Here is a 14,013-nt window from a genome sequence, read left to right on the forward strand (position 1 = left end):
TGGCCTCCATTATGTGCTCAGTATCAGCACATAATGATGGAAGGGGCCAAAAGGGTCTCTATCTGTTCATAAAAGCAGGCCCCGCAGCCCTTTGGCAGCTCCCCTGGTCAGGGCACTCTGGAATCAAAACCAAGGTCTGACTTGGCAGGAAATACAGGGTAGAGGTGAAATGTGCTTTTCTATCCCAGTTACAAGGTAGAACACATTTCCCTACAGAAACCACAAACATGCTGCATCACCCTGAATCACATTCTGGTCTCTGAGGCTCATCGGGATCTTTTTTCCAAGCTGACTGCATTTTCCATTCAGGCTCTGCCCTCCAGTGGCAGTGTTCCTGCTCTCTTTGCTAAGGCTTTTCCTCCAACAGCTCTTCTGGGCTCCACAAATCCCAGCTTGTCCTGTAGGCTCCAGTGCATGCATGATGCATTCTGGAAGCCTGCCTTGGTGGTGCGGCCAACAGGGGCCACCTTCCCCGCTGCTGCTTCCCTTGGGTGTTCTGTCTCAAGCTCTTCCGTGCCTTCTCCAGTCCAGTCCCTTGTATTGAAGCTGTCGCATGTTTGGAGTCAGCGTTCCTTCTTATTCTGTCATTGTTCCCTTTCTCTTAACCTTGTCATATGGGTGCAGTATCTTACTGTTCCCTGAGTACGTTAGTTACAGTTCTCTCAAAAGACTCCTTTTTCAGCTGGGTGCGGTGGCCAATGCCTGTAATCTCAACACTTTGGGAGGCTGAGGTGGGAGGATCACGTGAGGTTGAGTTCGAGACCAGCCTGGGCAACATAGCAAGACCACCATCTTTACAAAGAAACCAAGAATTAGCCGGGCGTGGTGGTGTGCACCTTTAGTCCCAGCTACTCAGGAAGCTGAGGCGGGAGGATCATGTGAGGCCGAGTTCGAGACCAGCCTGGGCAACATAGCAAGACCACCATCTTTACAAAGAAATCAAGAATTAGCCGGGCGTAGTGGTGCGCACCTTTAGTCCTAGCTACTCAGGAAGCTGAGGCGGGAGGAACACCTGAGCCTGGGAGGTCGACGCTGCAGTGAGCCATGATCACGCCACTGGCATTCCAGCCTGGGCAACAGAGTGAGACCCTGTCTCAAATAAAAGACAGACTCCTTTTTCTATGCTGTTTCCTCCCTCGGGACTCTTTTGTTTGTTTGGGGATCTGTCGTTTATGTGGCAGACTCTCCTTACCTGTCCCTTCGCATTAGCAGTGCCATACTGAAAGGGTACATGGCCGCTGAATGTGGGGACAAGCCTTTTGGCCTGGAGAGGCTCAGTAGCTGTGGGAAGGTAGCTTATCCCCAGAGGACTCCTCGGCCTCCTGCCTGGCTGCAGGCAGGACAATGGGAAGAGCCAGTTGATAGGCAGACTATCCCTTGACCCCTGTGGCTTGACCTTGATGTCACACCCCCAGTCTCAACTGTGCCACCGGTCCCTGAGTGTAGAGCAGCTTGGCTCCCCTCCCCACATGGGCAGAGCAGGGCAGGGCAAGATGGGAGGCCCAGGGGCTCTCTGGGCTTCCACCCTTGCTGCAGACAACTCAGTACAGTTTTCTCTGGTCAACGAAGTAGACTACTGTTTGCCTAGGCCGGGTGCAGTTGCTCATGCCTGTAATTCCAGGACTTTGGGAGGCCAAGGCAGGCAGATTGTCTGAGACCAGCCTGGGCAAATAGTGAAACCCTGTTTCTACTTAAAAAAAAAAAATACAAAAAATTAGAGCCTGGTGTGGTGGCACATGCCTGTAATCTCAGCTACTCGGGAGGCTGAGGCAGGAGAATTGCTTGAACCCGGCAGACAGAGGTTGCAGTGCACCAAGATCGTACCATTTGCACTCCAACCTGGGCGACAGAGTGAGACTCTGTCTCCAAAAAAAAAAAAAAAAGATTACTGTCTGCCCTTGACATTTCCACTTGACAGCTTTCCACTTGACTGCCCTTGACAGCGTCCACTGTCCTCTCCTCTCTCATTCTCTTTGTCCTTGTGTTTTTATGTATGTAATTCCTTTTCTGTTACTTTCCTGGCATCTTCAGAGGGAGCACAGATGAACACATGTTTGTTTTGCTATGCTTACCCAGCCACATAGCGGTTTTAACAAATATTTGCTAGCCTTTTGGTTCACACAGCAGCACAGGTTTTCTGTCTGTGAAAACACCACTCTGGAAGTGTTCTTCCAGACTCAGAATAACAGTTATATGGAATCTTTTTTTCTTTGTAGTGAAACTCTTCCCTCCATAATTATTAACATATTAGTGGTAAATTTCTAGAGCCCTCCCCAACCCTCCCATAAGAAAAGTATGTTTTATGGCAAAAAAAAAAAAAAAAAAAAATCTCATTAGAAATTTCATCTTTAGACTTTGTCTTTTTTCTTTCTTTTTTTTTTTTTGAGATGGAATCTCACTCTGTCGCCCAGGCTGGAGTGCAATGGCGTGATCTCGGCTCACTGCAACCTCCGCCTCCTGGGTTCAAGTGATTCTGCTGCCTCAGCTTCCCGAGTAGCTGGGATTACAAGCGCCCGCCACCACACCCAGCTAATTTTTGTATTTTTAGTAGAGATGGGGTTTCACCAGGTTGGCCAGGCTGGTCTCGAACTCCTGACCTCAGGTGATCCACCTGCCTCAGCCTCCCAAAGTGCTGGGATTACAGGCGTGAGCCACTGCGCCCAGCTAGACTTTGTCTAAAATAGCTGTGGTTAAGGATATTTTTAGTTAAGGTGATTTGTTTTGTTTTGGAGACGGAGTTTCGCTCTTGTCACCCAGGGTGGAGTCCAATGGCTTGATCTCGGCTCATCGTAACCACCTCCCCACCTCCCAGGTTCAAGCGATTCTCCTGTCTCAGCCTCCCGAGTAGCTGGGATTACAGACGCATGCCACCACGCCTGGCTATTTTTTGTATTTTTAGTAGAGACAGGGTTTCGCCATGTTGGCCAGGCTGGTCTTGAACTCCTGACCTCAGGTGATCTGTCCGCCTTGGCCTCCCAGAGTGCTGAGATTACAGGCCACCGCACCCAGCCTAGTTAAGGATATTTTTTAAATGTACCATCTAATCTATTTTTTTACTACATATGCTCACAAAATCATAGGAATTGACTTTTTTATTTTAAAAAGTATTATTTTTTAGAGACAGGATCTCTGGAATGCAGTGGCACAGTAGCTTACTGTAGCCTTGACCTCCTGGACTCAAGTGATTTTCCTGTCTCGGCCTCCCAAGTAGCTCAGAGGCCTGTGCTGCTACGCCTGCCTAATACTGTTTTTAACTTTTTTAGAGATAGGGTCTTGCTGTGTTGCGCAGGCTGGTTTTGAACTCCTGGCCTGAAGCAGTCTTCCTGCCTCAGCCTCTCAAGTTGCTGAGGTTATAGACGAGAGCCACCCACGCTCCTGGTAGAATTGAATTTTGAAGAGTTTGTATATATAATGTGTATGTGTATGTGCTTGTGTGTGTGTGTTTCAAGCTCTTCCCTCAGAATTTGAGGCTGTGCCTGTTCTGAGTAACTGACTCTGAGGGAAGGGTACCCAAGCTCCGGGGTGCAGATGCCCTTTACACTTGCAGCCTGCATCAACTTGAAGACCTTTTGAATCACCCTGAGCCATATGCTTGGCTCCTGCTGTGGCTCTCAAGACCAGCAAGAGGCCCTGAGTGGCTGGAGCCTGAGGCCTGTGGCCTGGGGTGCTCATAGCAGGCATGTAGCTGTCCACAGTTTTGGTTCTTTACAATTGTGGACCGCCCCCTCTCACTGTTGACAGTAATTTTAGATTTTTTGAAACTGTCTGAGAATTGGTATTTGGCAATTAGTGTTTCTAATTTGTCACAGGGCAACCTGCCAATCAAATATTTCAATATGACTCCAGTTTCCTCCTACTAATTTTGTTGAGGATTACTTAGAAATTATAGTTTTTATTTATAAGTCCTTATCTGTTAGAAATGCTTGCTGAAGTGGAGCGCAATGGCTCACGCCTGTAATCCCATCACTTTCGGAGGCCGAGGCGGGCGGATCACCTGAGGTCAGGAGTTCGAGACCAGCCTGGCCAACCTGGTGAAACCCCGTGTCTACTAAAAATACAAAAGTTAGCTGGGTGTGGTGGCGGGCGCCTGTAATCCCAGCTACTCGGGAAGCTGAGGCAGCAGAATCACTTGAACCCAGGAGGCGGAGGTTGCAGTGAGCCAAGATCGTATCATTGCACTCCAGCCTAGGCAACAAGAGCGAAACTCCGTCTCAAAAAAAAAAAGAAAAGAAAAAGAAATGCTTGCTGAAGTATTTACAAATGAAAGAATGTGATGTCTCTCATTCGCCTTAAAATATTCCAACCCATTCCCAAAGAAAAGCATGTGTGCAGGGGAGGGGAAGATAGATGGAACGCAACTGGTGAAATGCTGATACTCACGGTAGGTAGGTCACAGGTACATGGGGTTCATTGTTCTAGTTGCTTCACTTCTGTTTTGTCGAAAATTTCCATAACAGAACAAAAACAAGCTGTCAGACACAAATATACGGTTTCCAGACTTTTCCTGCCTGACACACAGAAGCACAACTTTGCTCTTTGAAACACTTTTTCTGAACAGAAGCCATCATTAACTAGGAACACTTTAGAAAACAAAACACTTGCTCTGGATTTCAAACTGCATATTAGTAGCTTAACCCTTCCCTGTGGTAGTCTAATGCTGTGACCGAGATAGGGTCCTGCTGGTACATCACAAGCACCCTCTGAGGCCCTCATTCTGATGACAGTAGGGAAATCACAAGTCCTTTCCTGCCTTGGCCTTGGCCTGTGACATTTGTCCAGTGTTTCCCGGAGGGTTTTCACAGGATACAATGCCTTAAGATAGTGCAGGAAAACAAATAGATAAGTGTTTGAGAGTTGCTGTGCTCAATTAATTTTTTTCTTTTTTTTTTCTTTTTTTTTTTTGAGACAGAGTCTCGCTCTGTCACTCAGGCTGGAATGTAGTGGTGCGATCTCGGCTCACTGCAACCTCCACCTCCCGGGTTCTAGCGATTCTCCTGTGCCTCAGCCTCCCAAGTAGCTGGGACTACAGGCGCACGCCACCACACCTAGCTAATTTTTGTATATTTAGTAGAGACAGGGTTTCACCATGTTGGCCAGGATGGTCTCAATCTCTTGACCTTGCAATCTGCCTGCCTCAGCCTCCCAAAGTGCTGGGATTACAGGCGTGAACCTCCGTGCCTGGCCGTGAATTTTTTTTCTTTTTAAGACAAGGTATCTCTCTGTTGCCCAGGCTGGAATACAGTGGTGTGATCATGGCTCACTGCAGCCTCAACCTCCCAGGCTCAAGCAATTCTACCTCAGCCTCCCTATGAATAGCTGGGATTACAGGCACATGCCACCATACCCAGCTAATTTTTTATTTCTTGTAGAGTCAGGGTCTCACTCTGTTGCCCAAGCTGGTGTCAAAGTCCTGAGCTCAAGTGATCCTCCTGCCTCAGCCTCCCAAAATGCTGGGATTACAGGTGTGAGCCACTACCGTGCCCAGCCTGGATTTCTTTACCAAAGGACTTGACTTCTCAGAACCTTTAGTCGTCATCTGTATTGTGACTCTTCCCCAGAGGGTGACACAGACTATTTCTGCAGTGTGCCTCTATGACCGCACCTCTCATATCAAGAGGGAGAGACTATGGAAAACAAAGCAGTCCACATGTTTGTTTTTATTAATCAAGACAGCAAACAGTGCCCATGATCTACCATAGGTACCTAGAATACCTAAGTCTCATTTTGGGCATTTCACATAGCTCAGACTTAAAAGTGAATTCAGGCCAGGCGCGGTGGCTCACACCTGTAATCCCAGCACTTTGGGAAGCTGAGGCAGGTGGATCACTTGAGGTCAGGAGTTCGAGACCATCCTGGCTAACACAGTGAAACTCCGTCTCTACTAAAAATACAAAAATTAGCCGGGTGGTGGCGTGTGCCTGTAATCCCAGCTACTCGGGAGGCTGAGGCAGAATCACTTGAACACAGGAGGCGGAGGTTACAGTGAGCCGAGATTGTGCCACTGCACTCCAGCCTGGGTGACAGAGGGAGACTCCATCTCAAAAAAAAAAAAAAAAAAAGTGATTTCAAAGATATTTAGGCAGCCTACTACCTCATGGGAAGGCTCATTTCACTTTTGTTTGGCTCGAGTGTTATGGCTTAAGACCCTGGAACTTATCAGGACAAACAGGCCCAGTTCTTAGTTCCCCTAAATGTCTTAGTCCCTATAATCCCTCACCATCCAGGTGTTTTGCCGGTAAATACCCTTTGGTTTGTCAGTGTCATCGTTAAAGTGAGTCCTCAGGAGTGAATATAATGCGTTGTCTTAATTGCAGAAAGCACACCATAGCATATCTTGTATGTTTTTGATGCAGCCGAAGATTTCATGAGCTCTTTTAGCAGTGGTAGCATACTGTGGTTTGCTCAGCTAAACTCGTGGTCAACTATAATCCCTTATGAATTGCTATGAAGCCCAATATCCCTCTTGCCGAACTAATTCCAAGAGACGTTACAACAGTTGTGTGGCCACATGAGTTTGGGAAATGCTGCTTGGCATGTAGTAAGAACTTAACAAGTGAGAGGTTATTATTCCTGTGACCATCTATGATGGCAGACAACTTGTCTTATTCCCCCAGCACCCAGCATAGCGCCTGATGCACATGGCACCATAATTCCACCGGTAAATGTTGGTGGCATTAATAAAAGTGGGGCTGTGTCTGGCAGCAAATTCCATCTTGTTACCTGTCCTCGCTTGTATAGGTAATCGTGCATTTTGCCTCTATCACTTACATGCTAGCTTCCAGGCCTAGCTTCTCCATTCACAGGTGTGACAACTGTGCATTCTGATGCCTCATCTAAGATAAGCTCTGTCCAGATTCACAAGCCTGAGTCTCATTATTTTCTGCTAGTTCTCACTGATTTTTTTTTTTTTTTTTTGAGACAGAGTCTCACTCTGTCACCCAGGCTGGAGTGCGATGGCGCCATCTTGGCTCATTGCAACATCTGCCTCCCCAGTTCAAGCGATTCTCCTGCATTAGCCTCCCAGGTAGCTGCGATTACAGGTGTGCACCACCACGCCCGGCTAATTTTGTATTTTTAGTAGAGACGGGGTTTCACCATGTTGCCTAGGCTGGTCTCGAACTCCTGACCTCAGGTGATCCGCCCTCCTTAGCCTCCTAAAGTGCTGGAATTACAGGCATGAGCCACCGCACCTAGCACTGACTGATCGTATTCTACTCTTTCAAAGTCTTTTTCTGTCAGGCTTTCTTCTCGTTTTCCCCCCATTCTAAGAACCTTGCATCCCTTCTAAAAAAATGGGATAGACTGGGCATGGTGGCTCACGCCTGTAATCCCAGCACTTTGGGAGGCCGAGGCGGGCAGATCACGAGGTCAGGAGATCTAGACCATCCTGGCTAACACAGTGAAACCCCGTCTCTACTAAAAATACAAAAAATTAGCCAGGCACGGTAGCACGTGCCTGTAGTCCCAGCTACTCGGGAGGCTGAGGCAGGAGAATCGCTTGAACCCAGGAGATGGAGGTTGCAGTGAGCCAAGATCACGCTATTGCACACCAGCCTGGGTGACAGAGCGAGACTCTGTCTCAAAAAAAAAAAAAAAAGGGATAAAGAGGCATTCTCCCACCCTTTTGTCATTTCTACTTGCCAAAAAAAAAACAACAAAAAAAAATTAGAACATAAAATGAGCCACTCTTCCAGGCAAAAACAAACAAAAATAAAATTTCACACACCCTGCAGGTCACCAAAGCCATTCCTTGGGTGTGTACATGTTTGTGTGCATGTATATGTGCTTTTTTAATGCTTTTTTTCTTTTCTTTTTTTTTTTTTTTGATACGGAGTTTCGCTATTGTTGCCCAGGCTGGAGTGCAATGGTACAATCTTGGCTCACTGCAACCTCCGCCTCCTGGGTTCAAGCAATTCTCCTGCCTCAGCCTCCTGCGTAGCCGGGACTACAAGCATGCACTATACCCAGCTAATTTTTGTATTTTTCATAGAGACGGGGTTTCACCATGTTGGCCAGGCTGGTCTTGAACTCCTGACCTCAGGTGATCTGCCCACCTTGGCTTCCCAAAGTGCTGGGATTACAGGCATGAGCCACTGCACCCGGCCTTTTTTTTTTTTTTTTTTTTTTTTGAGACAAAGTCTTACTCTCGTCCAGGCTGGAGTGCAGTGGTGCGATCTTGGCTCACCGCAGCCTCCACATGCTGGGTTCAAGCGATTCTCCTGCCTCAGCCTCCCAAGTAGCTGGGACTACTGGCACATACCACCACATCGGCTAATTTTTGTATTTTTTGCAGAGATGCGATTTCACCATATTCCCCAGGCTGGTCTCAAACTCCTGACCTTGCATTCCTCCTGCCTTGGCCTCCCAAAGGCACTGGGACTACAGACGTAGGCCACCATGCCTGACCCATTTTGCTTTTATTTAGTTTTGTTTTTTGTATTCAACCCTCAAGATTTTTATTTAATTTCTCTGAAGCGAGCACAGTTATCAATGGATTATTATTATTATTATTATTATTATTATTATTATTATTATTTTGAAACACAAACTTATGGAAAAATTGGAGGTACAACATAAAGAACTTTTCTCCAAATCACTTGAGACCTAATGTTGCATCACTCCCAAATGCCGTAGTGTTTTACAAGCATTCTCCTACATGACCACAGTGTGCCCATCCAAATTAGGAAATGATCATTTACACGTTATTACCATCTCACTCTCAGACCCCATTGAGGTTTTTCCATTTGTCCCAATAATGTCCTTTTTAGCAAAAAAGCCCAGTTCACACTCACAGGTTACATTTGGTTTTCATGTCTCATCAATCTCCTTATGTCTGTTGCATGCTGTCAGGTGGCACATGCAGCCATTTGTCCCATTACTGTTCATACTTGGGTCATTTGATGCAGGTGGTGTTTGCCAGGTTTCTTGACTGTAAAGTTACTCTTTTCCTCTTTGAATGTAATTACTATTTTGCTGGGATGTGCTTTGAAACTGTGAATACTCTATTCATCAGACTTTCCATGTATTTATATTTGTACAGACTCATGCAATGGTCTGTAATTTTGATGCTCAAATTATTACCAATTTGAGGCCAGGCATGGTGGCTTACACCTGTAATCCCAGCACTTTGGGAGGCCTAGTTGGGAGGATCACTTGAGCCCAGGAGTTCAAGACTAGCCTGGGCAACATGGTGAAACCTCATCTCTACAAAAAATTAGCCAGGCATAGCTGGGCATGGTGGTGGGCGCCTGTGATCCCAGCTACTCAGGAGGCTGAGGCAGGAGAATTGCTTGAACCTGGGAGGCGGAAATTGCAGTGAGCCAAGATCGCGCCACTGCACTCCAACCTGGGTGACAAAAGTGAGACTCCGTCTCAAAAAAAAAAAAAAAAAAAATTAGCAAGGCATAGTGGCATGTGCCTGTAGTCTCAGCCACCCGGGAGGCTGAGGCAGAAGCATCACCTGGGCTGGTGAGATCAAGGCTACAGTGAGCCATGTTCACACCACTGCACTCCGGCCTGGATGACAGAGTGAGACTTTGTCTCAAAAAAAAATAATAATAATTACCAATTTGGCCAATGGGAGACTATTCAAGCTGACTTGTGTCTTTCTAACTCATCCCCATCATTTCTTCACACGTTTCCTTGCTTTCTGGCACAAGATAGTATTCTTCCTCTGCTCTAACCCTGGAATCAGCCATTTCCCCAGGGAGCTCTGGATCCTTTTAGTGGAAAGTCTAAATCTTGGTATTTTGCAAGATCTGGATGCTAGGTGTGCTCATTGCCATTGGGGTGCCACTGCTCTGCATGCTCTCAGTGGACACAGCCAGGGAATGTGTGTGTGCTCATTTCTGTGTGGAATGAAAACCATGTGTTCATGGTGCTACCTCATGACGGAGGTCATTTTCATTTTTTCCCTTTCCATGTTTGTAGCTCTCCTCTCTGATGGTGAGAAACCTGGTTTCTACTATCTTTAATATTTTTACTTATTCCCTGTGCATGTGGCTGATCTGTCATTTTTGCTGCCACTCACTCCTCTGCTCAAACACCCTTCTCTCCCTGCTTGGTTCTCACTCTCCGTTCCAGGCCACCCCCCTGTGTGGACACTTACCTCACCCACTTGGGCACCAACACATCACACCAGGTGATTCTAATAGGTAGCCAGGTTTGAGAACCACCAAGAGTTTTCAGGTTGAACTGCACTTCAATCTTTTTATCAAGCATTTCCCACCCCATTGCTAACTCTTACTGGTTACTAGTTATTAGCAAGCTGCCAAACATTCTCTTTCATAAGGAACAACAGCCACAATGCTTGCTTCTCACTGCTGGAAGGCATTTAATCCTCTTGAGAAACAGCAAGTGATTGGTGGAGTCCTGGCTCTGCTTCTGGTTTCCCAGGTTGATTATGCTAGTTTCACAACAATGCCATGTTTTCTTCTACCGAGAGCAGTATTGGTATCATTAAGATACCAAGAAATGCTGAGGTTTCATTGGTATTCTGTAACTTGTATTTTGCTGCTACGGGGAAGATAGCTGTTAGGTTTATCCTGTTGTTAGCTTTCAATTCTAAAGTGAATATGGGCTGGGTGCGGTGGCTCACGCCTGTAATCCCAGCACTTTGGGAGGCCGAGGCGGGCAGATCATGAGGTCAGGAGTTTGAGACCAGCCAGGCCAACATTGTGAAACCCCGTCTCTACTAAAAATACAAAAATTAGCTGTGCATGGTGGCGGGCACCTATAATCCCAGCAACTCGGGAGGCTGAGGCAAGAGAATTGCTGGAACCCAGGAGGCGGAGGTTGCAGTCAGCTGAGATCACACCACTGCACTCCAACCTGGGCAACAGAGCAAGACTCCGTGTCAAAAAAAAAAAATTGTTAAAGCCAATATGAACCCCCTCTGAACCTCACTCAGCTTTGAAAGTGCTCTTGCAAATCATCTACTCCAGTCCCCTTTACAACAAATAACCCCTGCGTGCACTTGTCTGTGTGCGTTCTCAAATGTGTTCTTGTCTGTCTGCTTTTTATTGATTTTCAATTTTGCCTTTTTCCACTGTTCTAATTTGCCTTTCTTTAAAAGTGTGAAGGAAGAAGTGTTCTGGAGGAACTACTTTTACCGCGTCTCCCTGATTAAGCAGTCAGCCCAGCTCACGGCCCTGGCTGCCCAACAGCAGGCCGCAGGGAAGGAGGAGAAGAGCAATGGCAGAGAGCAAGATTTGCCGCTGGCAGGTATATTCTGGGTAGAAGACAGCACTCTACAGAAAAAGTTGTTCTTAGAGACTCAAATGAGCTTGACCTCTTATACGTACCAGAAATGTCATTGCCTTAGGGAAAAATTCTTTTCTTCCCAGAGGAAATCTTCATTTTTCTCTTACTGCCTTCTCTCTGACCCAGCTCACACATGTCTTCCCCAAGCTTTCCTTTACTTTGCTTATCTCCTTTCTCATTCCTTGTTTTCGTTTTTGTTTTTTTTTTTAGACACGGGTCTCACTATGTTGCCCAGGCTGTCCTCAAACTCCTAGACTCAAGCGATCCTCCTGCCTCAGCTTCCCAAGTAGCTGGGACTTACAGGCATGAGCCACTGTGCCTGGCGAGTTTTTTTTTCGTTTTATTTCTCTCTCAAACATCCGTCATCTTCCCCCCCTCTCATTTTTGGCCCTTAACCATGTGATTCTTTATACTTCTGTCCTCTACCCTGATTCAGTCCGCCTCCTTTTTGTTTGTTTCAACCTGATGTTTCTCCAGTGTGTGTAGTCTGTAGAGCAGAACAAAGCTCCATTCCACTCCCAAGTTACAAGGATCTATCTAGTTCTGAGCTAGGCACTGATGAACATTGGACTCATTGTGACACTAACTTACCCCTGGTTGTGGGAATGTGTTTTATAATAAGGGCAGCTGTTTGAAATCTGTAATAATTAAAATAAGAAACACATTTTGTGTCATAGTTTAAATTCTTAGTGAGTACCTGCTGTGTATAGTAGGTACTCATTACAACTGGACATTTATCCCACAAGAAGCGGGGTGATTTAATTCACGGAATTTTAAATGATTAAGCAAAACAGCATGTCCTGAGGTACAGGTTATACAGAATACTAGGACAGGATCTGACACTGCTGTTAGTGTCAGGGAAATGGAGTGAAGTTGCTCTACACAGGAAAATTTGTCATTTTGTATATCAGTGTTAACATGCATCCCAATTGTCTGTTATTCTTTAGCATTTATGTTAATTTTGTTGGAAAATGCCATTTTGCCAAATACTGCCTTGTTTAACAAAATGGATTTATGACAGTATTCCATAAAGACTGCCTTTTTCTAGCACTCTTATCAGCAGGCAAACTTGATAAATAGCTTAATTCTCATTATTCTAAAAAAGTACAGAACTATTCTTCAATGAATTTTGCTAACACTGTAGTTAAAAATTATTTCCTGCTGGAAATTTTATGTAAGGATATGTATTGAATATGATGACATGTTAAAAATATCCCCAGGAGGCTGAGGCAGGAGGATCACTTGAGCCCAGAAGTTCGAGTCCAGCCTGGGCAACATAGTGACACCCCATGTCTAAAAATAAATAAATGGATAGGTAGATAGATAGATAAAAATATCCCCAAAGTAAGAGGTTGAGATGGTTTCACCATGGCTGTTTCTTATAACTTAAGAAAAGCTGAAAGCATAACATAAAAATTCATTTCTGAAAATTATTTAGTATCATAATACTTGTGGATATTTTACTGTGATTATAATATGTATTCAGAACTGAACCAAGCAATTATTGTCTCTCTTATTCTCACTTCTTAGAGGCAGTACGGCCCAAAACGCCACCCGTTGTAATCAAATCTCAGCTTAAAACTCAAGAGGTAATCCAGTTTTACATTGTACCTAGTAGTTGATATCTGGAAATAAAGTAACTGTGTTAACTCTTTCTGATACCATTTAAAACTATGTATGAATATGGGTTTGGAAGAAGCAGCATCTGGTACTTGAATAGTCAAGGAACTAGGGCTGAGACTTGAGGACGATTTACTGGCATATGTAATTCTAGATGTGTTCATCAGGGATTGGAGAGAAGGGTTGGAGTGATTCAAACTGTGAAGGAGAATAATAGCCTCAGGTGGTAACTCATGTAGTTACCAAGCAACTGCAAGTTAGAAGGTTGGAGAGCAGTGCTCATTGTCTTACAGCTCGCAGAGAAAAGAAATAAAAATAGCACGGCATTAAATTGTGAGACAATAGCAAACCAGAATAACACAAATGTCGCTTAGCAAACCATTTCAAGAGCTCATTTGTTGCATTTCAGGATGAGGAAGAAATTTCTACTAGCCCAGGTGTTTCTGAGTTTGTCAGTGATGCCTTCGATGCCTGTAACCTAAATCAGGAAGATCTAAGGAAAGAAATGGAGCAACTAGTGCTTGACAAAAAGCAAGAGGAGACAGCCGTACTGGAAGGTAAAAAACAAAACAAATCAAAGCAAAGAAACTATTCGTCTCCCTAATTCCAAAGCTAATTGTAGAAAATTGTTATTCTGAAGCCAGTGCACAAAAATGTGTTGTAAATTTTGCATCAAAATTGATTCTTGTCAGAGGCAATGGCTCACGCTTGTAATCCTAGCACTTTGGGAGGCCGAGGCGGGCAGATCACGAGGTCAGGAGATCGAGACCATCCTGGCTAACACGGTGAAACCCCGTCTCTACTAAAAATACAAAAAAAAATTAGCCGGGCCTGGTGGTGGGTGCCTGTAGTCCCAGCTATTCGGAAGGCTGAGGCAGGAGAATGGCATGAACCTGGGAGGCGGAGCTTGCAGTGAGCCGAGATCGCGTCACTGCACTCCAGCCTGGGTGACAGAGCGAGACTCCGCCTCAAAAATAAATAAATAAATAAATAATAAGTTTTTGGCCCTGGTGCAGTGGCTCACATCTACAATTCCAGCTACTCGGGAGGAAGCTGAGATGGGACAATCACTTGAACCCGGGAGGCGGATGTTGCAGTGAGCCGAGATCACACCACTGCACTCCAGCCTGG

At 45.5% G+C, this 14,013-nt stretch overlaps 1 protein-coding gene across 2 annotated transcripts in view; it reads left to right on the top strand.

The window, feature by feature from the left end:
- SYAP1 (synapse associated protein 1) overlaps nt 1-14,013 on the top strand; it is a 45,729-nt gene that overhangs the window by 24,259 nt on the left and 7,457 nt on the right. For both annotated transcript variants that reach the window (NR_033181.2, NM_032796.4), the window contains exons 6-8: nt 11,075-11,223; nt 12,793-12,851; nt 13,292-13,439. Coding sequence is in view for 1 of the 2 variants with exons in the window: in NM_032796.4 (NP_116185.2) it covers nt 11,075-11,223; nt 12,793-12,851; nt 13,292-13,439 (356 nt within the window). In the remaining variant the exon portion in view is untranslated. The remainder of the gene's footprint in view (nt 1-11,074; nt 11,224-12,792; nt 12,852-13,291; nt 13,440-14,013) is intronic.

Source organism: Homo sapiens, chromosome X, assembly GCF_000001405.40.
Source record: "Homo sapiens chromosome X, GRCh38.p14 Primary Assembly".
Classification (NCBI taxonomy): Eukaryota; Metazoa; Chordata; class Mammalia; order Primates; family Hominidae; genus Homo; species Homo sapiens.